The sequence below is a fragment of the Homo sapiens genome, chromosome 2 (genome assembly GCF_000001405.40).
Source record: "Homo sapiens chromosome 2, GRCh38.p14 Primary Assembly".
NCBI classification, from domain to species: Eukaryota; Metazoa; Chordata; class Mammalia; order Primates; family Hominidae; genus Homo; species Homo sapiens.
The window spans coordinates 11,318,545-11,344,773 of record NC_000002.12 but is presented as its reverse complement, the minus strand read 5'-3'; the positions used below and the strand labels follow the sequence as shown (position 1 = coordinate 11,344,773).

Sequence of the window (26,229 nt, the reverse complement as noted above, 5' to 3'; positions counted from 1 at the left end):
CAGACGCAGGAAGGGAAAGAAAGGGAGGAAGCGCGGTGCGCGGGGCGGGGCGGGGCGGAGCGCGCGCAGGGCCGGCGGGGACGCGCGCCGGCGGCTGCGGGCGGAGGGGCTTGTGGGTAGCGGCGGCGCGCGGCCGGAGACGGGCGGCCGCGCGGGAGTGTGTGCGCCGGGAGCTGGCTGAGGGACTGCAAGGCGGCCGGCGGCGACCATGGCAGCGGGCCGGCGGCGGCCGTAGTGGCCCAGGCCTGGGCTTCAGCCTCCCGGGGCCCCAGAGGGCGGGGCGGTCCGGGCCGCGGCGGTGGCGGCGCCACTTCCCTGCTCCCGCCCGAGGACTCCTGCGGGCACTCGCTGAGGACCAGCGGACCGGCGGCGCGAATCTGACTGAGGGGCGGGGACGCCGTCTGTTCCCCGCCGCTCCCGGCAGGGCCGGGCCGGGCTGGGCCGGGCTGGGCCGGGCGGGCCCCTGGGAGCAGCCCCCAGGCGGGGGACCGCCTTGGAGACCCGAAGCCGGAGCTAGAGGCAGGCGGTGGGCCCGGGTGGAGTCCCGGCCGGAGCTGGTGGTTCGGGGGCGGTGCTAGGCCCCGAGGCTGCGGGACCTGAGCGCGAGGAGCCTGAGTGCGGGTCCAGCGGTGGCGGCATGAGCCGGCCCCCGCCGACGGGGAAAATGCCCGGCGCCCCCGAGACCGCGCCGGGGGACGGGGCAGGCGCGAGCCGCCAGAGGAAGCTGGAGGCGCTGATCCGAGACCCTCGCTCCCCCATCAACGTGGAGAGCTTGCTGGTAGGTGGCCGGGGCCTGGGAGCTTGCTCGTTGCAGCTCACACCTCAGATCCCCTCTCCGCCCAGCCCTCCGTGCCCGTCCGCCCGTGGGGAGGGGGAGGTCTTGCCCCACCCCGCCCTGCTTCCGGCAGCCGGGGCCGGAGACCAAACGATTCTGTCACCGAGTTCCAAGAGTAGTGACCCGCCTTTGATTCCTCCCTCTACCTCCTGCTGGAGCCAGTGTCATCCCCGGCTGCTCCTTTCTTGCAGCACTGGGAGGAAAACACCCCTCTTCTCCTTCCGCCTGCCCACTCTGGGGAGGTGGGTGGAGGACTGGCCATGCTTCATACACCAGGTTAGCTGATTTGAAAGTGTCATGCTACGTGGGGACTTGGTGCGAGCGAGGGAGAAAGAAACCTGATGCTGTCCCTGTTGCGAGTACTCACTGGGGTACATGACAAAGAGCCGCCCTCACTCTCTCCTTTTAGTCTGAAATCTTGGAACACACAGCTAAAGTTTTGCTGTTTTCACTTGCGTTTGAGCATTCCATACTTGCTATTTAGTGCATTTTAATTGCTGTAAATTTAATTCCCTGAGATTATTGCGCCAGAGCCAAAAAATCAGTCTGAATTGTGGAGTGGAATAAATCTGTCCTCTTCATTGCGTCTCTTTCCTATAACGACCTTTGAAATCCAGATTAATAGCACCGTAAAGGCTGCTAATTGGCTCTTGGTTAAGAAAGGAGCATGTTTTACAAAATAGAAATGCACCGTAGAATGCTGGCTTATTTCTTATTTTTGTTAGGATAGATGATTGTATTTCGCAATTTGAGTAGTGTGCAGTGTAGATGCATTTATGGGAAAAGGGGGTGTGGACTTTTACCCTGGGGAGGGGAAGAAAGGTGAAAACGATACTCTGTGTATTAAATTGACTCTGGAAGACTAGAACTAGGGTGGGAGGTCCTTAGATCCGTTAGACATTCTGTGCTGGAATGCAGATGTTTAGTTCTATTCCCTCCTGGAATAAACCTTACTGTATGATGAGAAAAACTGCCTCCTCCCTTTCCAGGGACGGACGGACTGGCTTTTGGTCAGAGGCGGTTGGTTATCCTTTGAGGTTTCAGGCATCGTTTGCAGAGTGACTCAGTCCTGTTTGGTCAAAATGCAGGAACTGACTTTAGCTATATAGTGTCTTTCTGCACAGTGTACAGAAAGTAATGAATGATGTGCTATATTGTGTCACATGTGTTTGATGTTTTACTGTTTTTCGGGTTAATGTGTTGTTCCTATGTTTTAATGGGAGCAGTCTTTGAAAGTCTTTAATCGGGAGTAAGATTGCTTGCATGGATGGCATAGCTTTTCCTAGGCTAAAGCGGAGACTCTGGGCTGCACTCCCAGCATTTTCACTTTGGTATTTTGCTAGCAAAACTTTGACCTAAGGCCAGAAAGTTTAGTTAAAAATAGTACAGCAAATCTCAAGTATTCATCAGGTTCATGCTAAATCCTAGATGGAAACGTTTTGCAATTCACTTTGATATCTTAGATCTTTAATGATATTAATCATAATTATTAGAGTTATTCTGAGCTTGAATGTAAGTAGCTTATACATGTAATATGATCATGCATTTTGTTTTATTGCTTTCCAAATTATTAAAATGGAGGCTATTTTTAAAAGTGAAACATCTCACATGTTCAGGACACAGTTCATTCATTTAGCAGTTATTACAGCCAAAACACACTTTTATTAAGGTGGCACATTACGGATCTGAGAATTGACATCAGGTGCTGATGACTTGACAGACTCTGTTATTGCTGTTTCTAGTTGGTTAAATATGCTTGAGGTGCAGTAAACCTTTCCAAGCCAAAATGCGTCCCTTATTCCTTTGGAGCAAGGTTCCTGGTGTTTCTGTTACAAATTGATAAACGAAATTTAAAAATTTTTTTATAATAAATTAATTTTAAATTACGCGTATTTTATTTATGAACTACTAGAATGGATTTTTTATTGTGGTAGCGTATACAGAATTTACCATTTTTAACCATTTTTAAGTGTACAGGTTAGTGGCAGGCATTAAATACATTCACATTGTTGTGCAGCCATCACCACTATCCGTCTCTGGAATCTTTTCATTTTTCCAAACTGAAACTGTAAATTAATGTTTAAAAGAATGTTATAAAAATTATATTTCCTGAAATACTGACGAAATAATGGCTGGTATCACTTTAAAGATCTGAAACCTTAGCATTTAGGTTGCATTTCACTATTGGTCATTGTTTTACTGCCTATGACATTTATTTTTTGGTTTTGCCATGGGAAATACATATTTTGTCTTTAACAGAAAATTTAAAGGAATATAATTTAAAGCAAACACAGCTGCGACACTACATTCAGGAGCTCAGAAAGTACCATTAAAAATAGTATATACCTAAGATGACAAAAGAAGATGAAGTACACCAGAAATGATTGTATGATGCTTTCAGTGGGCTAGGCCTAGAAGGTAAAACTCTGTAGGAAACAAAGTTTTATGAGATAACGTGTAAAGTGCTTAGCCTAGTGCTTGGTACATCACAGTGCTCATTAAATTTAGTTCACTTCTCCTGTGCACACTTAGCATGTTATTAGTTAACTGCTTTAAATTTTCTTTTCAAAGGAAAATGGTTTTATTTGCAACTATTTCTTGCTACATAATTTTGAGTGAGTAGCATTATCATTTGAATTTGTCATCAGAAAAGTGCTAGCAATCATTAGGCATAGGTAGAGCTGGATTCCAAGACTAAATCAGTGTAAAGATGACATCTTGTTTCTCTGCAAAGGCTCATGGCTTTATGTGGGTCCTTAAATTAATCTGAGAAGAGTATATCTCTTTTATGGTTGCAGATTGTGAGCCGCTTAGTATTACTTAGAGTTTTGCTTCTCTACTGCCTCTTTTTTTTTTTGGAGGCGAGTCTTCAGTAATATGCTTTTGTAGTGTTTGAAACCTTTGGGTAAATACCTATGCTTTGTTGTCAAGACCAGCTTCTCATACTGCTTACCTATTATGGTAAAAAGAACTGTGTTTCAGGCTTTGCTGAAGAGATATTTTTCTAAAGGTCTGTGCTTTTTGAGTGTTGATTTATTTTACTCTTTCAAAGAGTAAACAGTCACAATAACCTGTAGGACTCACGCTTGGGTAAACTCTTACTTAAGACTTGTGTGGATGGGCAAAGGTGATTAAAACTTTGTTTACAATTTTCAGTGGCATAAAACATAAAATAATTTGATTGATTTCATTATACTTGTAAACTATCTGACAATATTATCTCAGTGCTTAGACTCTTTCAGCATGCTGCTGGTTATTTGCCTAGTTAAAATAAAATTGTATGTGTATTTTTCCCATCATGTAATAAGTAAGAACATTATAAAGATACAATAAAAATGAAATAGAATAAAAATTAAAAATCATTTTATACATTTTTTTCTTTATGAAGAGTTTGGCATTTATAGTGTAAAATTTGTGACTAGTTTACTTTAAAACTTTCATGTTGATAGGAGATATTTAAAGAAAATGAGTTAGCTAGGGAGGTTTTAAAAAAAAGGTGATGTGTGGAACTTACTGTTGATGTGAAGCAAGTGCAGGTCCGCAATCCCTTATCCACAATTTTGATATATAAAAAACCCAGTTTTTGGTAAAATGTATTTGATGATAACATCTGACCTAATCTCACATTAGAATACTTGTGGTCTAGTCATTCCTCTTGATGTAAATAATAATGCCTTTTGCTGGAGGAATATGAATGTATTTGATTTCAGGGTGTTGCCCAGATTTTCAAGAGCATTTTTGGGAGTACACAGTATATGTACTGTGTACCTTTCTAAAATCCAAGAAATTCTGAGTTCGGAAACATTTTGGTCCCAGGGTAAGGCCAATGTAGACTAAGTAAGGAAATACGGACTTACATACACTTCAGTAGCTGTAAATAAATAGTGGATAATTATCTTGAAACCTAACTTTTTTGTTTTTTATTTCCCAAGTCTTGATCAGATAGCCCTCTTTTTCCCATTTTGAATTCTAAAAATATAGTATGCAAATATAAGTTACGAAGCGTAAAAACATATTCATGAAATCACCACACAAGTTAATAAGTGGAACACTAGCCTGTAGAAGTTACCTGTGTGCCGTCGCCGCTGCTGGATTCAGTCTTCCTGCATCCTCTCTCATCTGCTACCCTGAACATTTTATTGTTCCTTTGCTTCATTTCATAGATTACTACATTTGTGTGTATCTCTAAACAATATTGTTTAGTTTTACTTGTTTTTTTAACTTTATAAAATGTCAGCATTTTTATGTATTCTTTTATGACTTGCTTTATTTACTGAAAATGGTGTTTCTAAGATTCACTAACATTGTGGGTTATTCATATTCTCTGCTATGATAATCAGTATAGCTCCGATCTACTTAATGGATATTTACAGTTTTCTTTCTTTCTTTTTTTTTTGTTTTTTTTTTTCTGTTATGGAAAGTGTTGCTAGGAGCATTTCTGGAGCTCACGTGAATAATTCCTGTAGATTAGGGTATATATCTGGGAGTGGAATTGCTGGATTTTAAGATATACTATGTTCAGTCAACTTAATATAATGGATAGAGTTGAAAATTTTCCCCATGATGTTATTATAGAAAATTTCGAAGTATAGTAAGGGTGAAAAAATCGACAGTGAACATCCATATATTTACCGCATAATTAATATTTTGCTGTATTTGCTGTATTTTCTTTATCTGTCCATTCCTTTATCCATCTATCAATACATCTTTTATTTTTGGTTCACTTAAAGTAAATTGGAGATATTAGTATACTTCACCTTCAAACACTTCAGTATGTATTTAATTAAGAAGAGTTCAATATTTGTTTAGATTTTTTAAAGATTAAATTTGCATGCAATGAAATGCACAGATCTGAAGTGTACCGCTGGTGAGTTTTGACAAATGCACACACCTATTTAATGCAAATTCTTGTAAAAATACAGACCATTATTACCAACTCAGAAATCTCCTTCACACCTTTTCAGCTAATTTCACACACCATTTTCTTCTATTAGAGGCAGTCATTCTTCTGATTTTTTTTTTTTTTTGCAGTAAAGATTACTTTGACTTCTTCTATACTTCATAAAAATGGAATCATATAGTATATACTTTTCTGTGTCTGGCTTCTTTAATTTAGCATTGTTTCTGAGAGTTATCTGTGTTATTGTGTGTGTCAGCAGTTTATTCCTTTTTCTCATTGTTGAATTGTCTTCTGTTATATGTATAAACTGCAGTTTGCTTGGATATCTCGTGTTGATGCATACCTGGACTAGTTTTCAGTTTTTTGTTTTCAGAATGTACACTGGTCCCTTGGTGTTCTCCGGGGATTGGTTCCAGGATACTTGCCTTATAGTCTGCCTACGTACCAAAATCCGACGACGCACAGTCCTTTTTATAAAATGGCATTAGTATTTGCATGTAATCTGTGCATATCCTCCATATACTTTAAGTCATCTCTAGATTACTTACAATGCCTAATACGATACTGTATTGTTTTAGTTTGTATTTTTTAATTTTTATTTTTTTTCCAAATTATTTTTGATCCATGGTTGGATTCATGGATACAGAGTGCTGAGTGTATTATATATTTTGGCTTGATTTTTTTAAAATATGGAGACAAGATCTTGCTCTCTTGCTCAGGCTGGGATGCAGTGGTGTAGTCATAGCGCACTATAACCTTCAACTCCTGGTCTCAATGATCCTTCCAACTTAGCCCCTCTAGTAGGGACTACAGGCCTGTGCCACTGTAATTGGCTAATTTTTATTTTATTTTATTTTTGCAGAAATGGGGTCTTGCTGTGTTGTCCAGGCTGGTCTCAAACTCCTGGCCTCAAGTGATCCTCCAGCCTCAGCCCCTGAAAACGTTGGATTAGAGGCCTGAGCCACTGCACCCAGCCTACTTTGGCTCTTAATACAGTTGTTATGAAAGTTTTCATTTCTTTTGGGTAAATTAAATACCTTGTAGTGGAATTGCTAACTCATAGGGCAGATATGTGTTTACTTTTTAAGAAACTGATGGCCAGGCATGGTGGCTCATGCCTGTAATCTCAGCACTTTGGGAGGCTGAGGTGGGTGGATCATTTGAGGTCAGGAGTTCGAGACCAGCCTGATCAACATGGTGAAACCCCATCTCTACTAAAAATTAAAAGAAAAAAAAAATTAGCCAGGCGTGGTGGCACGCACCTGTAATCCCAGCTGCTTGGGAGGCTGAGGCAAGAGAATCACCTGAACCCAGGAGGTGGGAGGTTGCAGTGAGCTGAGACTGGGTCATTGCACTCCAGCCTGGGCAACAAGAGTGAGACTCTGTCTCAAAAAAAAAAAAAGAAACTGCCAGATCTTTTTATGAAGTAGTTATACCATTTTATACTCCCACCAACAGTATATGAGAGTTCCAGTTGCTCCACATCTTCCCCGACACTGCTCTTTAAAATGTGATTTCGATTTGCATGATTTGCATTTCCCTCATGATGAATGATGTACTTTTTCTTGCACTTACGGGCCATTTATATATTTTCCTTTGTGAAGCATCTGTTTGAAGCAACATACCTCCATTTTTGCCCATTAAAAAACATTGGGTCATTTATTTGTATTTATTATTGAATCTTAGAAGTTCTTTTGTATATAAAGAGAACACTCTTTGTCAAATAAATGTTTTGTGAATGTTTTTTCCTAGCTTATGGTGTATCTCTCTCTCTGTCTCTTTTTTTTTTTTTCTGAGGTAGAGTCTTGCTGAGTTGCCCAGGCTGGAGTGCAGTGGCACAATCTCGGTTCACTGTAACCTCCACCTCATGGGTTTAAGTGATTCTCCCTCCTCAGCCTCCTGATTAGTTAGGATTACAGGCATGCACCACCACACCCGGCTAATTATTGTATTTTTATAGTAGAGACAGGGTTTCACCATGTTGGCCAGGCTGGTCTCCAACTCCTGACCTCAAGTGATCCACCCGCCTTGGCCTCCCAAAGTGCTGGGATTACAGGCACAAGCCGCCATGCCTGGCCCCATATCTCTTTTTTTAATAAAAATTTTTAATGGTTGTTGCTTTTCTGCCCAAGTAATTGTCGCCATCCTCATGTCGTGAAGATATTCTCCTTTGCTTTTTTCCAAAAGCTTTATGGTTGACTTTTACATTTAGGTCTAGGATACATTTTAAGCTAAATTTAATGTGTGGTGTGAGTTAGGGGTTGAAGTTAATTTTTTTTCTCCACATAATTATCCAGTTATCCAGACTATCCTGCACCATTTTAAAAAAATTAAGTTTTCTCATTGGATTGCTTTGGCACCTTTGTTAAAAGTCAGTTTACTGACAGTTGGACTTTTAAATTTGCTTTTCTACCACCTTAGTAGCTACACCGGATCATCAGTCCTGGTTCTATTGTTTAACCCATGCTCAATTCAAAAGTCATTTCTTGGCTGGGCACAGTGGTTCATGCCTGTAATACCAGTGCTTTGGGAGGCTGAGTTGGGAGGATTGCTTGAGGCTAGAAGTTTGAGACCAGCCTGGGCAACATGGTGAGATTTGTCGCCTCTACAGAAATAAAAAAATTAGCCAGGCATGGTGGCACAAACTTGTGATCCTAGCTGCCCAGGAGGCTGAGGCAGGAGGATGGCTTGAGTCCAGGAGTTTGAGACTGAGTGAGCTGTGATGGTGCTGCTGCACTTTAGCCTGGGTGATAGAATGAGACCCTGTCTCTGGAAAAAAAGTCATTTCTTTTTAGTTTTATCTGTACCTGAGGGAAGTGACAACCAACTATGGCTGAGAGGGAAACATAGATTTTATTTTTTAAAGTGAAGAAAGATTTGTCATTTTTTAAATTATAAAAATAATATGCTCTCGTTGTAGAAAATTTAGGGAGCATAGAAGGGTATAAATGCTAATAGCACTTATCTACAATCTCCTTCCTTAGAGATAATCACTGTTTAAATTAACATTTTGGTTTATATATCTTAACTTATATGTATTTAAAAATTACAGTATTCATGTGCTTTATCTTTTTAAATATTTAATGAATAGTATGAGTTTTATATAGTCACAATTATCAATCGTTTCACTGTAAAGTGATTTCTGGCTTAGTGGTCATGTTTAGGAAATTCTCTGTTACCAGGATTATATCATCATATACCTGACTTTTTGTTCTCACATGGCTTTATTTTTATTGATATTTTCATTTCATTTGGAATTCTGATGGAAAGTATGAAGTAGGAGTTCAAAGATTATATCAGGAGATTGAGATTTGTCTAGGTATTAAATTTCCCAAAATATTAATTGGGAGTTTCTGTTTACATCTCTTTATTATACTTTCTATTTGGAGAGTGGTGATTGGGGTGAGAAAAAAGGTTTAATGATTAAGGTCTAATGATTATAGGTTAGGTCTCTATTTGGGCCTCTTGAATTTCTTCATGAAAATACTATACAACTATACTTAAAACTCTAATTTGTTAGTGATAAGGATTACTGGTGGAGAGAATGTGGATGACTCAGTGCAACTTACAGCTTTTAAAAATAATAAAAGAACATTTTCCCTTGGTGGACTAGCATATGGAGCTTACTGTTTAATAAATTGATGTGAAATCATGGTGCATTTGGGGCTCAACTAAAACTATACTCACTTTATCCTTAATTGGAGTCATTTTTCTTTCCTCTCATCTGTACTCCTGCCCCCCTTTAAAGTATTATTAAATTATATAGATATTCTTGTAAATTCTGCAGTTAGGTTTTCTAAATGACCCTCACATATCTTTTCAAAAAGCATTTGGGTCACAATACTTAGCATTTCTCTCATTCCCCGCCTTCCCCTTCCGTGTGTGTGTCTGTGTGTGTGTGTGTGTGTGTGTGTGTGTGTGTGTGTGTGTATCAGTCAAAGGGAACTATTTGGATTCATTTTTAGTTCATTGTCAATAATATTTTGGGGAATGTTTCTAAGTCCAGGAATGATTTTATGGTTTGGTACTTCATTTTGGTAAGGTATGGGCTGTTTGTTCAGATATCTAAAGTGCTTTATAATTTTTTTTTGTCATAGGTGATTGACCACTTATATTCAATGTCTGAATTCCTTTATTCTCTAAAAGAGTTTCACCTCAGATTTCTTTAGTTATAAAGCAAGTGATAGACATTTTATTTTCAAGGGATTATAGACTTGGAACAATTTCTAATGTTTAATTATTGAGGTTTCTATGCCATGGAAATGAATTAGCGAAGTGTTCTCTAGCAGTACTTTATTTAGATAGAAACGCGCCAGAGCAGGGCTGGTATTGTCTTAATTACCTGCATGATTGTGTTGACAAATGCTTAATATGCTAAGCATTGCCTTCATATATGCTTCTTGGCTTTTGAGTTTATTTTTATTTAATGCACAGAATATGAGCTCTTTTAGTACGAGTCTTTTATGTTTTCCTATTCTGTAAATATTTGTTGAATGAACTAACAATTTTTTTTTTTTTTTTTTTTTTTGAGACAGAGTCTCTCTCTGTCGCCCAGCCTGGAGTGCAGTGGCACAATCTCGGCTCACCGCAATCTCTGCCTCCCGGGTTCAAGGGATTCCCCTGCCTCTGCCTCCCGAGTAGCTGGGACTACAGGTGTGCACCACCACGCCTGGCTAATTTTTTGTGTTTTAGTAGAGATGAGGTTTCACCATGTTGGCCAGGATGGTCTCAAACTCCTGACCTTGTGATCCGCCCACCTTGGCCTCCCAAAGTGCTGGGATTACAGGCTCAAGTCACTGCGCCTGGCCTCTTTTTTTAAATAACAGGAGTGATAACCTGTAGAAATATCTCTACTTGAAGAGTCATTAATTAAAATACTTCCCAGATAAACATTTTGATATGTGTTCCTGTCACTAAGTTCTTATCTATCCATAGGAAAGAAGATAAGTAAACATCTATATATGCAGGGAGGATGGGTTTAGAAGTAGAATTAATTTGGAGATCATGTAGGAAAAGCAAATTGTGATTTGGATATTTTCCGGATTGTTGTGAAACAGTTTGTCTTGGAAAGAATTAGGTGAATTTTATTCAGTGTTTTAGGTGAAGTAAAGATACCTCATGGGGGCTGAACAGCTTTTTATTATTTATATGTGTCATTTTTTCCCCCTTCTCCTTAACTTTTTTCTGGTTAAACACATTTACTTCTTTTTATGTACCTAGTTATGCCTGTGTTGGAATTGCACTTTATGAGCAGGGCAGATGAAATGCTGGTGGTGTGTTCACAAGGTGAAATCCTTTAAAATAGTGTATTGGCTGTTATTAATAGTAAGGCAATATTTTTCAATAGTACTAAAAATTAAGTTAAAGGGCATGAGATTTTTTTGACAGGAATCAAGTGTGTCATTGCAAGTCACGATGACTTGAGAATTTGTCAGGTATTAAGCATTCTGGTTTCTCATGTGTTGATTTGGCTTTAAACTGTTTCATGTTTGTAGTATTTCTTTTTTTTTCCTAATACATGCAGGTGCTTTTTTTGTGTGTTCTCTGGACCATATTTAAAACAGTTACAGAAAGAATGGAATTTAGAGCTGTGATAGTTTTTCTTCTATATCTACTAGTGGTATTCATTTAGCAGACAAAGAAGAGTGATACATAGTATCTTACTTGTAATAAGCCTTTCATATTGGTTGAACAAATAAATACAGCCAGCAGATGTAGTGCAATTGGCAAAATGTGTTTCAGTCTCTTATTAGCTCTTAGAATCAGCTCTGAAATAAAAGTCTGGTGGTTGAGAATGAGCAGGTATTGAATATATAGAGTCAGGCATCATTGTTTACTAGCATTGCTAGTTCTTTTTATTTTCAACTGTTTTATTGAGGTATAATTTATACACCATTAATGTCTTCCATTGTAAGTGTACAATATAATGATTTTTAGTAAATTTACAAATTTGTGTAACCATCATCACAATTCATTTTCATCACCCCCCCTAAATTCCCTTGATCTTATTTGCAGTCAATCCTGAATCCCATCCCCAGCCAACCACTGATCTGCTTTCTGTCTCTATAAGTTTGTCTGTTCTGTAAATTCCATATAAGTGGAATCATAAAATATGCAGTGATTTCTACCTGGCTTCTTTTACCTAACGTAATGTTTTTGACATTCATCTGTGTTGCAGCATGAATACTATGTTCTTTTTAATTGATGAATAATATTCCATGGTTATGGATATACCACATTTTGTTTATGAATTCACCATATGTGAGGGCATATGTTTTCATTTCTCTTGGACAGATTCCAAGGAGTGGGACTGCAGGGTCATATGGTAAATTTATGCTTAACTTTTGAGAAACTGCAGACTGTTTTCTGAAGTAGCCCTACCATTTTACATTCTCACTAGAAATGTATAAGGGTTCCAGTTTCTCCATATTATCACAAAACACTTGGTAGTGTGTGTCATTGTAATTATAGCCATTGTAGTGCATTTTACCAATGACAAATGATGTTGGCCACTGTTTTATGTGCGTGTTTTGCTTGTTCTTTTGATTTTTGCTAATGTGTCATGAGTGTGGCCTAATTTGGATCATTATATTTAAGTTGTTTTTGTTTTTATGCTAGGAAATAATACGGTAATCAACTGGTGAAGGAGTTTTATTTTGTATACCACAGGCCAATTCCAGTGTTTGGAATTCCAAAAATAGAATACAAATACAGATCAGTGCCCTCTGAATGTGGAATTATCCTACTGATAAGTGTTTATACCTGAAAGGCCTAGTTAATACTAAGCATTTTTTTAAAACCTTGTTATGATACTTTTTGTTTCCAAGGAATGAATGAGTCTTGCTGATCTGTGTAGGCTCTTTTTTATTTTTTTAATTAAAAAAAGGTTTTTTTTTTAAGAGATGGGGTCTCACTCTGTTGTCCATGCTGGAGCGCAGTGTGATCATAGCTCACTGCAGCCTAGAACTCCTGGACTCAAGCAGTCCTCCTACCTCAGCCTCCCAAGTAGCTGGGACTACAGGTGCATGCCACTGCACCTGGCTAATGGGAAGGCCCTAATAATGGCAGTGGAGTCTACTAGTTGGGTTATTTCTGTTTCTGTTGTTGTTGTTGTTGAGACAGTCTCACACTGTCGCCTGGGCTGGAGTGCAGCAGTGTGATCTCAGCTCACTGCAACTTCCGCCTCCCAGGTTCACGTGAGTCTCCTGCCTCAGCCTCCCGAGTAGCTGGAATTACAGGCGCCTGCCACCAGGCCTGGCTAATTTTTTGTATTTTTAGCAGAGACAGGGTTTCACTATGTTGGCCAGGCTGGTCTCAAACTCCTGACCTCGTGATCCACCCGCCTTGGCCTCCCAAAGTGCTGGGATTACAGGCGTGAGCCACCGCGCCTGGCTAATTGGGTTATTTCTGAGCTACAGATGTTAAGGGCTTCTGACGTGCACATGACTTTTTTTTTTGTTCCATTCTGCTCTGTGTTCATCTTCCATCTTTTGATTGTTTTGAACATGTTAGGTATAAGCTTATAAACTTATTTCTTTCCCTTTTGTTGACCCAAATTTTATCTTTATACTTCTCTGTTAAAACAGTTACTAGTATTACTTCAATAACTTGGTTCATATAGAGGATAGGTAGCTGTTGGTGTTTTAAGTACTATTGCACTTGGCTTTTGGCTTGTTTTTGAGTATTCATTTTAATTTGCCTTACAGATACAAAGGTTGCCTGTTCTTGTTCACAGGTGGCACAGGTGCCATGTTCTTGTTCACAGGTGTATCAGTGTGTGATTCTACTCTTTTGCTTTGTATTTAGGTGTGAATCCTCTAGAAGTCATACTCAGAATATGCTTATTGAAATTGAAGTTTTCTTTTTAATGTTAGGTTAGATAAACTATTTTGAGTTTTTATTAAAGATAACTACATGTGGTACCTTTTTCTTTTTTCTTGAGTAGCAAAGGAAACTTAGAAAATATTATTTCTTCTTCTTCTCCTCCTCCTCCTCCCTCCTCCTCCCTCCTCCTCCCTCCTTCTTTCTGCTCCTTCCTCCCTCCTCCTCTTTCCTTCTCCTCCCCCTCCTCCTCCCTCCTCCCTCCTCCCTCCCCCCTTCCTCCCTCCTCCTCTCCTCCTCCCTCCTCCTCTCTCTTCCTCCTCCCTCCTCCTCATTCCTCTTCCTCCCTCCTCCTCCCTCTTCCTCCCCCTCCTCCTCCCTCTTCCTCCCCCTCCTCCTCCCCTTCCTCCTCTCTCCTCCCTCCTCTCTCCTCCTCTTCCCTCCCTCCTCCTCCTCCCTCCTCCTCCTCCCTCCTCCCTCCTCATCTTCCCTCCTCCCTTGTCTTCCTCCTTCCTCCCCCTTCTCCTTTTTTTGAGACTTTTTTGAGACGCAGTCTCTGTCACCCAGGCTAGAGTACAGTGGTGAGATATCGGCTCACTGCAGCCTCCGCTTCTTGGGTTCTTAAAAGTTTTTCGTTTTAAAACCAAAAGGAAAAGAAAGTGTATTAGCACAGTTGTCATGAGCTTTGATGCCTACAAGATCTAGTGAAAAATGTGTTTTTGTATGTTGAAATCCCTGTAAAAGTATTTTGTATATTAAATATGAAAATATTAGTATGATTTTGAAAAATGTATCACCTTTTTCAGATAACTTTGTTGTTTTAGAGTTATAGTTTGTGGGATTTTTATCTCATGGCTAACAAAACTACATACCCTGTGGCCAAGGCACAATTCAATAACGTGGGGCTCTAGAGTGACATATAATAAAAGTATCTTTAAAGCCCTAAAGATTTATGACATTTTATCTTTTGAAATATTGTTTTCAAATAATTGCTGAATAGAAAGATAATTAGAAATGTGAAATCTGAAACTAGGTGATGCTTCTTTCACTGACTGAATATATTTCTGCAGTTATTTTTAGAAGAGTGTTATGGATGATTTAGAAACATTTTTATTGGAAGTATTTTTCCAGTTAGAAACATTTTACAATCTGGTGATGAGAATTCCTAATTCCATAATACCTCAGTGTTGTACAAGATGCTCCAGCATTTCTAAATATTTGAAAAAAATGCAATTAATTTGAGACTTCATGAGTCAGTTATGACATGTTCATGCTAAAAATATTCTCAGGCATTATTTCTTGCTGTAGCTTAAACGGAATATGCAACTCATGGTTGCAACATTTAAAATTAGAATATGGATAATGTTTATGTTGTTATATTCAGGTTAAAGAAGAATTTAATCACAAAAGCAAGAGAACATTTAAAGAATTTAATCACAAAAACGAGAAAACGCACCTAAAGGATTTTGCTGATAGTTTTGTAAAACAATTTCTGCTGCAAGCAATTTTTTTTTTTTGTAAAAATGGGGAGGCTGTAAAGTTATAAATTTTGAATGCTGGAAAACAGATTGTTTTCCATTTTTAAGACATTTCCATAATAGGAGAACAGCAGATGATACAAATAAAACTAAATTTAGAACTAATAAAAGGAAACTCTAGTACAAAATTGGCTTGTAAAATTTTCTTCTGAGGGAAGTCATAAAATATAACAGTGAATAAATTTTTAAGAAGTTACGGTTTTTTTTTTTTTTGGAGATGGGATTGTTACAAGCTTTTAGTATAGGGAAGTTTTGTCTTTCTGGATGATATAATGTAAATATTTGGTGTAGTGTTTTAATGTGCTTTCCCCTTCTTTTAAACAGAACTACTCAGTTTGACTCTAGTTACAACAGATCTGTGAAATAAAAGTTTAAAAATCTGAACAATGCCTTATTTCAAATGATTTTCTATTAATAAAATTCCACCAAAGTACATAAAGAGGATCCCTGTTTGATCTCATTAACATATGAAGGTTAAAATGAATTTTTTTCTTAAGAGTTTCCCCACCAAGGTAGTGAAGATGGGCAAAAAATGAAGGAAAATGACTTGAATTTTTAATTTCAAGTGTATTTTTTTTTGTTTCTTTTTTTTGCATTTTTAAAAAAATTATTATTATACTTTAAGTTTTAGGGTACATGTGCACAGTGTGCAGGTTAGTTACATATGTATACATGTGCCATGCTGGTGTGCTGCACCCATTAACTCGTCATTTAGCATTAGGTATATCTCCTAATGCTATCCCTCCCCCCTCCCCTCACCCCACAACAGTCCCCAGAGTGTGATGTTCCCCTTCCTGTGTCCATGTGTTCTCATTGTTCAGTTCCCATCTATGAGTGAGAACATGTGGTGTTTGGTTTTTTGTCCTTGCGATAGTTTACTGAGAATGATGATTTCCAATTTCATCCATGTCTGTACAAAGGACATGAGCTCATCATTTTTTATGGCTGCATAGTATTCCATGGTGTATATGTGCCACATTTTCTTAATCCAGTCTGTCATTGTTGGACATTTGGGTTGGTTCCAAGTCTTTGCTGTTGTGAATAGTTTCAAGTGTATTTTTAAAAGAGAGAGTAGTATAGTGGAAAGAACATTGGATTTGGAGTCAGAAAAGCTAAGACTGGTGTTAATTAATGAGATGTTCTAGTGATTATCTTCTTGATTGTGAGTAATTTATAGGACTATTTGCCTTCAAGGAGTTGTGAAGAATACAGTGAGAAGCTAACTATATGTGCTAGTGTTCTGTAAACTGTACAGAACTTTAGCTTTTTTACAGACAGTTGAAAAACTATGTGTATAACAGCCTATATTGTTTGTGTCTCTCAATGTATGTGCATACAAAATCAACCCTCTGATATTAGCCTGTTTCCCCCCCCAAATGTAGCATATTATTTGGCACATATTAGCTTCACTAAGTGTTAAATAAATGAATGAAAATTGTTGGCATTTTTGTGTTCTTAATTCACTGCGTGTAATTAGTCGCATTGGGGTTTTGGATGGATCTTTACAATCTAAGAGAATAGTAAGACAAAGTCTTGGTGGGGTTTATGGCTCATAGATGATGGACTTTGGGGATAGAAGTTTCATATCAGAGATGTGGAAGGGAAGAGAGTGAGCAGGACCAGGGATAGAGGCAGTCTTCTTTTCACTGATAATCTGAATATACCATGTTCTCTATACTCTTTGCCCTTGTGTGTACCTGGATTGCTCTGTCTCCTTCTCTGTTTTGTCAGCTTATCACAAAAACAAAAACAAAATAAAACAAACTTCATTTTTTAAATTACAAAAGTAACATATGCCCCTTTAAAAACGGACAGTTGGCCGGGCTTGGTGGCTCACACCTCTAATCCCAGTGCTTTGGGAGGCCAAGGTGGGCAGATAGCTTGAGCCCAGGAGTTGGAGACCAGCCTGGGCAACACAGTGAAACCCTGTCTCTACAAAAAATACAAAAATTAGCCAAGTGTGGTGGTGTGCACCTGTAGTCCCAGCTTCTTGAGAGTCTGAGGTGGAAGGATTGCTTGAGCTGGGGAGGTGGAGATTTCAGTGAGCTGAGATTATACCATTGCACTCTAGCCTGGGTGACAGAATGAGACTCCCCCTCTGCCTCTTTCTTGGCCATGTTCTCTTTCTCATTGAAGACACAGGCATGTGGCTCACAATCTTTCCCCATAAGGCTTTGCCACCATTCGTGGTGAATTTAGAGTTTATGTGAACAGAGGGCCCAGGACTCTGGCTTTATAGTTTCCCAATTTCATCATCTCCAGTTGTCTTTCTTTTCGCTTAATTCATTCACTTAATCCCATGGAGCTACTCTGGACCTCACCATTACCTGAAAATTGGCTTTACCTTTGAGGTCTTAAATTTAAAACACTGTCCTGGCTCTGACTGTAAACTTTTGAGATCTGTAGTTCCTTGACATCTCTAAATGGTTCCTTTACTAGCAGGCAGGAACCCATTTTCCATCACTTTAAACTTCTTGCCAGAATCCTCAGTGTCCTTGTCCTCATGAATTTTCATCGTATGTATCTGGCAAAACCTAAGTTCTGGATCAGTTTGTCTCTTTGGCCAACAAAAAAAGCATTTGTTGAGCAGTGATGGATAAAAATCACACACAATTACCCAGATTAGTGGTACTGCAAATTCATGGTCTCTAGTCCCTGAAAGAGCTGTCAGGGCTGCATTGCAATTCTTTTATTCTCCATAGGGGCTATTTTAATCATTCTTTTCTTTCTTTAAACTTAAGAAAGAAAGTATCCTCCCCGGATGGTCTCCCCCCTTCATGGGAAAACAGAACCCATGAAAAGGAGACCCCTTATATTTCCTGTTACTTGACTCACCAGTTTATCTCCTCCGTAGCATTTGTTCTTCCTTTCCTTCAATTTCAGTGGATGAGATGTTTCCTCATGCTGCCTCAGGCTGATTCTCCAACTGTGCTCTGGGTCTTATTCTTTTCTTCCTGCTGATTAACGCTATGTCTTTAATCTCTCTCTTAATTCTGATTATTTCCCATCTCACTAATAAACATGTTCATAAAACAACCAAAATACCCCTAGACATAAGTCTCATTTCTTACTGCATGATATGGTCAGAAAATAAAAAACAAAACAAAAACGAAACCTCAGTTCTTTCTAGCTTCTGCCTCCTCCTCTCACCAGCAAAACAAAGCCCCAAGCTTGTGTACTTCTCTGTTGTCTCATGTTCTGTTCACTTCTCCATACACTATAATGTCTTCTCTCATCATTCACTAAAACTGCTCGCTCCAAGATCATCTGGACTTCTTGCTGCTAAAACCATAATCTTATAGAATGTTCAAAAGTACTTGACACTTGTCAAATTGCTGTCTTCTGTTGGCTTCTATGACAGTACGCAAAGCCTCAGCTGTTTCTCCTTAGGCTCCTTTGCTGCCTTCTCTTCTTCTGCCAAATGGAAATGTTCCTTACTTTTTTTTTTTTAAATGCATTTGCCATCTTGGTTTTGTATCTTTTCCAGGACTTTATCATTTGTATGTTGATGCCTTCCATTTTATCCATCTGAGAGCTTGCATTTGAGCTTCTGGCTCACATATCCAGCTACCTACTGGGCATCTCTACTTGGATGTACTGCAGATACTTAATGATAACATATCTACAACTACATTCTTTTTTCCCCTATTGCTCCAAATCTGCTTCATTTCCTTTGGTTTTAGATTCAGTGATTGTTTCCACTATCCATTTAGCTTCGATCAGGCCAAAAATCTAGTGTCTGTTATCTTTGACCTCACATTGTTCCCAGATCTTATCAGCGTTACCTCTTAAAGGGGATTCACTTGCCTCGCATATCCCTGCTTCTTTCCTATTTCAAGTGACTATCATGCTATTTCTAGATTATTATGGTATTCTTTTCCCTGGTGTTCTTTCCCCCAGCTTTTCTAGTCTTTTATCCATTTTCTACTCTCCAGCCAGACTAATTATGAAATGTAAACTTACCCTGTTATTCTCTGAAGTATTTAAATGATTGATTTCCCATTCATTCAGAGAAAAGTTAAAATTGCTAATTATTTCCCACAAAATTGTTTGTGATCTAACTTCTGCTGACTTCTCTAACCTATCGCTTGTCCCTTACTCCTCCCTTTCTCTCATATCCCACCCCATATTAAATAACTTTCATTTGAAGCTGCACCATTTTTCTTCCCATCTTCAAGTTATTAAAAAAACCTAGATCCCTCTGCTTAAAATACAAATGCCAACTCCCCAAATATTAACTGTAATGTAGTATGTGGAAAAACTTCTGTAGCATTGTATTTAGTCTGGTATGAAGTTGGATTCTGGAAGGACAAGACAAATATGTACAGTTTTCCCTCAGTATCCAAGGGGGATTGGTTCCAAGACCCCAAGACCCCTGTGGATACCAAAATCTGTGCATGCACCAGTCCCACAGTTGGCCCTGCCAGAACCACATACACAAAAAGTAGCCTTGCCTTTGGTAGTGGATGTGCAACTCACGGATAAGGAGAACTGACTGTACTTATTGGAAAAAAAATCTACTTATAAACAGACTTGTGCAGTTCAAACCCATGTTAAGGGTCAGCTGTATTTATAATAATGTCTTTCAGAAACTGATCTATTTCTGTGTTAAATGATAATGGAGAATTGGTTTGTATAGCATGAAGGGGATTTCCTTAGAAAAGTGTTTCAAGTGGAAGTTGCTGATGGAAACTCGTGCTTCTTGTGAGCATTTCTATTATGAGAAGTATGGATAAAATAGTTGGCTAATGGAAAAATGGTAATATAAATGCTGGGCATAAAACTTCTTTATAGAAAACGAATAGATATTTTAAATAATAAGCACTTGAGACCTGTCATGTTGAATAGAGGTTTTTATGATGTACTATTACGGTTATTGTCATAGCAGAAATAATACAAGCAAGACATACATCTCTTACTATGTGCCAGGCACTGTGCTTTACTAACTTGTTAGATTTCTGTGTCATTTTTCCAGTGCCATGAAAATAACAAGTTCTTTCAAGATTGGCTTCTTTTACTTAGCAATATGCATTTTAAGTTTTCCCTCCATATCTTTTCATGGCTTGATAGCTCATTTCTTTTTAGTGCTGAATAATATTCCATTGTCTGGATGTACCATACTGTACCCACTCACCCACTGAACAACATTTTGTTGCTTCCAAATTTTGCTAATTATGTATAAAGCTGCTATAAATGTTTGTGTGCAGGTTTTTGTGTGAACATAAGTTTGTTTTGTTTTGTTTTGTTTTGTTTTTTGAGACGGAGTCTCCCTCTGTCGCCACGCTGCAGTGCAGTGGCATGATCTCGGCTCACTGCAACCTCCGCCTCCTGGGTTCAAGCGATTCTCCTGCCTCAGCTTCCCCAGTACAGGCACTCACCACCATGCCCAGCTAATTTTTGTATTTTTAGTGGAGACGGGGTTTCACCATGTTGGCCAGGATGGTCTTGATTTCTTGACCTCGTGATCCTCCAGCCTTGGCGTCCCAAAGTGCTGGGATTACAGGCGTGAGCCACCGTGCCCGGCTGAACATAAGTTTTTAACTCCTTCAGGTAAATACCAAGGAGTGCAATTGCTGGACTGTATGGTAAGAGTGTGATTCCAGCTGTATGACGTTCTGGACAAAGGCAAGAGTAAGGAACCAGCAAAAAGATCAGTGACTGTTAGTGTGGAAGGAGAGATGAATAGGTGGAGGACAGAAGATTCTTAGGGCAGTGAAAACACTATATATGATACTATAATGGTGGATACAGGTTATTATACATTTGTGTGAACCCATGGGATGTGCAGTACCAAGAATGAATACTGACGGTAACTATAGACTTTGGGGGATAATGATGTGTCAGTGTTGTAGGTTTGTTAGTTGTAACAAACGTATCATTCTGGTGAGGGATGTTGATAGTGGGGGAAGGCTATGTGTATGCAGGGGTGAGGGGTATGTGGGACATCTCTGTACCTTTCAGTTTTGATGTGAACCTCTAACTGCTCTTTAAATAAAGTCTTTTAAAAAACATGTTCTTTAAAAATATTCTGCACTTAGGAATACTTACGAATTCAAATATGGTTTAAAATTTTTCTAAAAAATTATGACCTCTTCTGGGTAGTATAGAGGTAGTTGCGTACTTTTTGCAAACATAATGAGAAACCTCTTACCTGTCTGATTAAAGTTATATTAAAGTCAGAACATCTGAGTAGCATATATGTCTAATAGTATGTAATTTCACCCAATTCTTTGAATAAAGGTTTATTCATTCTGTACCTGAGAGATTTAGTGTCTTTTAGATTTAATGTCTTCCTGAGTATTTGTTTTCTCATTTAATACAATTGTGAAATATGTAGGGCAGATATACAGAATAGAGGGGAAACTGAGGTTTGGAGGTTTGTCCAAAGTCATGCAGCTGCTAAGTGGCAGAACTGGAAAAGTATCAATGTCTGTAGATTTCTAAGACAGTATTCTTTTTTTCATTATGATGCTTATTTTCTGAAGTAAAACCTCAAGCTCTGAACAAGAAATTGGTTAGCTATTTGGACAAGCTGGATGGCTATCTTAGAAAAGTAATTAATAATATTAAATGTTTTAACATTAAAAGGATTACAAACTTCAGAATATTTGTTGTCAGTGATTGTTCAACTTGTTTACCCTAAAAAATCCCCTTAGGTTCAGGTTAATCTTCTTCACTCTTCAAAAGAGCACTGCTTTGGATTTTTTCATGTCTGCAAGTGAAGAGAGCGTTTCACTGTATGATCTATACTTACTGGAGATAATGATTAAGAACTTATCTTTAAAACTCATTAGTTGTTAGTGTGATTTTGTTCACTGACCATTTGACCAAGCTAGGGAGGAAATGGAACGCGTAACTCAGGAAAGGGTAAAGAAGCTCTTCACAACTGTGGTATCCCATAATGATAAAATTAGCCAAAACCAAAAAGTACATATTTTTAACTTTCTACCACATATAAAATAATGTTTAAGACATAGTCCAGGTACTTTTAAGAAGTTATAGTTTGGGAAGATAAAGCTTATTGTCAAGTGGAAAGTTAAATGATGAATTAAAGAGCTATAAATAGAGTAGTATAAAATGATACCTTACTTGCTATTTGAGCAGCAGATAACAAACACCCTGAATTAAGAATGGTGGCAGTCACCATGCTTTGGAAGTATTAGAAGAGCATTATGGATGCTCTTCTAATGCATTCATGACATGAATGCGACAATGGCAGCAACAGTCATGATGATTAGTAGCAAACACTTAAATGGCTACTGTTTCTGGCATTTATATATATATAAAATATATATGTATAAAATACATATACACACACTAGTGATACCTTGATTTCTTAACTTTATTTTTTCTTATTCTTTTTAAAAAACTGATACATTAATATGAAAATTATGTGTATTTATGGTGTACAACATGATGTTAACACCTCGATTTTTGAAAGATAGTTTTGTGTAGTATTCTAAATTGACCATTGTTTGTTTTGTTTTTGGCTTAAATAACGGAAATTTATTATCTCAAAGTTCTGGAGCCTGGAAGTCCCAGATCAAGGTGTTGGCAGGTTTGGTTTCTTCTGAGGTTTTTCTCCTTGGCATGCAGATGGTCACCTTCTCACTGTGTCCTCACGTGGCCTTTCCTCTTGCTTGTGTACCCCTGGTGTCATAATCTCCTCTTCTTAGAAGGACACCAGTCAGACTGGATCAAGACCCACTCTGATGACCTTATTTTAATTTAGTCATCTCTTTAAAGGCCCTATTTTTAAATACCAATGACATTTTGAGGTACTGGGAGTTAGGACTTCAACTCGTGAATTTTGGGGTGCAGGTTGAAACATAATTCAGTCAGTAACTATCCATCTATTTATCTATTTTTAAACCTATCATTTTTAACGTGGAGTGCTGTAAGACTGAAGATGCTTCAAAGAATGAATATGTATATGAAAACTTGTGATCGAGTTTTTGTTGTGATCCTTCCTCCTTTGATCAGTGTAAACTGGTCGCTTTCCTGTCTGTAATACAGCTTTCAATTCCTACCTTTCAGGATTATTGTGGGATAGATTGACTGCTTTTGTTTTTGTTTTATTTAGTACTTTTAAAACATTGCTCCACTGTCTTTAAAAAAAAATCAGTCCAGAGGTTTATTTATTTGAGACTAATAATTTATTTGGCATTCTCTGACCCAGTGATCCACCTGCCTTGGCCTCCCAAAGTGCTGGACGCAGTGGCCACGCCTGTAATCCCAGCACTTGGGAGGCTGAGGCGGATGGATCACTGGGGCAGGAGTTCGAGAGCAACCTGGCTAACATGGCAAAAAACCCTGTCTCTACTAAAAATACAAAAATTAGCCCGGTGCGGTGGCGTGCACCTGTAGTTCCAGCTACTCGGGAGGCTGAGGCACGAAAATCGCTTGAACGTTGGAGGCGGAGGTTGCAGCGAGCTGAGATCGTGCCACTGCACTTCAGCCTGGATGACAGAGTGAGACTCTGTTTCAAAACAAGAAAATAATTTGATCCTTTTGTGCCTTGCTTTGTTATGCCGGTAAAGAGCAGCAGTTAATCTAGAGCTAATTTTTCCATGCTACTGAGGGAAAAGCCTTTTGAGTACAGTACCTCAAGTCCCGTGAATTGTAGGGTTTTCCATTCTGGCTAGCATGGCAGGAATTATTCTTGTTCAGCTCTTGGGAAATGTCTCATGTAGATCATGTAGTCTCATGTAGATATGTTCTCTACTGAAGACTCTAGGGGGAGTACCTGTGTTCTTTCTCTGTACACCTCCCTCCTCTCTGGTACTCTGTTCTGTTAACTGCATTGGCTTCCTTGGCTTCTAGCTCTGCTTCTGCAATCCAGGGTGACCACTTGGCTCAACTTAGGTTCCCTCTCTGGGCATGGTCACCTGGTCACCTGGAAGTGGCCATGATAGGGCTCACTTTGTTTTTCTCCTCTCAGGGAGGGACCACCGTCTTTCACTGCCTGATATCCAGTGTCTTGAAAGTTATCATTTCATTTATTTTTTCTAGTTGGTAAGTTGTTTCAGGTGGCTGGAAGGGGTAGATTCTAGATATTTTAACTCCCTAAGCATTAAATGTAAACCCATTATCAGACTAGAGTAAGACCTATATTAAATAATTTTATCGCTTCATAATTTATGTAAGGTATTTATCACAGTGGTGACAAGGCAAAAAAATGTTTGCTGTTGCTATCCTTATTATCTCATCAAAGGACTCAATGTTGGTGTCTTCCTTACATTTAAGTGTTAAAGTATTTAGGTGAGATCCAATCCAGCTGATTACAGCTGCACCACGAGACAGTGCTATTGAAGGAACCTGGTAGTGGGTAAAGAATATTGAAAAAGTTGAGATAAACATTATGGCAGTGGCCCAAATAGCTATTATTTTCTTCTTTGTACTAGGAAAACCCCTGGAATGTATTTGAGTTTGGGCTGAATGAAGACTACTTAAAAAAATTTTTTTAAAGCAGTTTTGTTGTTGTGTGTGATTAGCCACATGAGTAAGTTGAAGCTATGGAATGTGAACACCAGAGGTTTGTGAGTAGCTTCCAGGAAGAGTCCTTATAGGGAGTGAATGTATCCTTTTCTTGCCATTGCCTTTTAACAGCTGGTGTTGGTGCTTGCTATCCCATGTCATTAGGTGGAAGCAGTGGATTCAGGTTAACAGTAACAAAGCTGAGGAGCTTAGGTCCCTGATTATCATTGGAGCCACTGGATCCACCCTGAATAGTTTTAAGGTGTTTTCTGGTTAGGTTTTTCTGTCACTTGCAGCTGAATCAGTCCAAACCAATAATATAATTTATTATGATAATATAGTATAAAATATCCGTGGTATTTAAAAATTACCATTATTTCTTTAATATTGCCAAGGAAATAAGGTGTTTAGAAATGTGTAGATCAGATGGGACGTATCTAAAAATAATAAGAGCTATTTATGACAAACCCACAGCCAATATGATACTGAATGGGCAAAAACTGGAAGCATTCCCTTTGAAAACTGGCACAAGACAGGGATGCCCTCTCTCACCACTCCTATTCAACATAGTGTTGGAAGTTCTGGCCAGGGCAATCAGGCAGGAGAAAGAAATAAAGGGTATTCAATTAGGAAAAGAGGAAGTCAAATTGTCCCTGTCTGCAGATGACATGATTGTTTATCTAGAAAACCCCATCGTCTCAGCCCAAAATCTCCTTAAGCTGATAAGCAACTTCAGCAAAGTCTCAGGATACAAAATCAATGTGCAGAAGTCACAAGCATTCTTATACACCAGTAACAGACAGAGAGCCAAATCATGAGTGAATTCCCATTCACAATTGCTTCAAAGAGAATAAAATACCTAGGAATCCAACTTACAAGGGATGTGAATGACCTCTTCAAGGAGAACTACAAACCACTGCTCAACGAAATAAAAGAGGATACAAGCAAATGGAAGAACATTCCATGCTTATGGATAGGAAGAATCAATATTGTGGAAATGGCCATACTGCCCAAGGTAATTTATACATTCAATGCCATCCCCATCAAGCTACCACTGACTTTCTTCACAGAATTGGAAAAAACTACTTTAAAGTTCATATGGAACCAAAAAAGAGCCCACATTGCCAAGTCAATCCTGAGCCAAAAGAACAAAGCTGGAGGCATCACACTACCTGACTTCAAACTATACTACAAGGCTACAGTAACCAAAACAACATGGTACTGGTACCAAAACAGAGATATAGACCAATGGAACAGAACGGAGCCCTCAGAAATAATACCACACATCTACAACTATCTGATCTTTGACAAACCTGACAAAAACAAGAAATGGGGAAGGGATTCCCTATTCAACAAATGGTGCTGGGAGAACTGGCTGGCCATATGTAGAAAGCTGAAACTGGATCCCTTCCTTACACCTTATACAAAAATTAATTCAAGATGGATTAAAGACTTAAATGTTAGTCATTTAAAACCGTAAAAACCCTAGAAGAAAACCTAGGCAATACCATTCAGGAGATAGGCATGGGCAAGGACTTCATGTCTAAAACACCAAAAGGAATGGCAACAAAAGCCAGAATTGACACATGGGATCTAATTAAACTAAAGAGCTTCTGCACAGCAAAAGAAACTACCATCAGAACAGGCAACCTATAGAA

General features: G+C 38.9%; 1 protein-coding gene across 5 annotated transcripts in view, besides 1 other annotated feature; it reads left to right on the top strand.

The window, feature by feature from the left end:
• The window catches only part of ROCK2 (Rho associated coiled-coil containing protein kinase 2), a 165,679-nt gene that overhangs the window by 664 nt on the left and 138,786 nt on the right, over positions 1–26,229 (top strand). For 3 of the 5 annotated variants that reach the window (NM_004850.5, XM_005246190.4, XM_017005378.3), the window contains exon 1: positions 138–778. The exons of the other annotated variants lie outside the window; for them this stretch is intronic. In NM_004850.5, coding sequence (NP_004841.2) covers positions 638–778 — 141 coding nt within the window. In that variant the 5' untranslated portion in view covers positions 138–637. Of the gene's footprint in view, positions 1–137; positions 779–26,229 lie in introns of those variants that run through there. 5 annotated transcript variants of the gene reach the window in all.
• Positions 94–823: a silencer, noted in NCBI's record as "silent region_11172". NCBI's record gives its function as "represses an Ori minimal core promoter by ATAC-STARR-seq in GM12878 lymphoblastoid cells {active_cell/tissue: GM12878}" and the evidence as "EXISTENCE:reporter gene assay evidence [ECO:0000049][PMID:35858748]".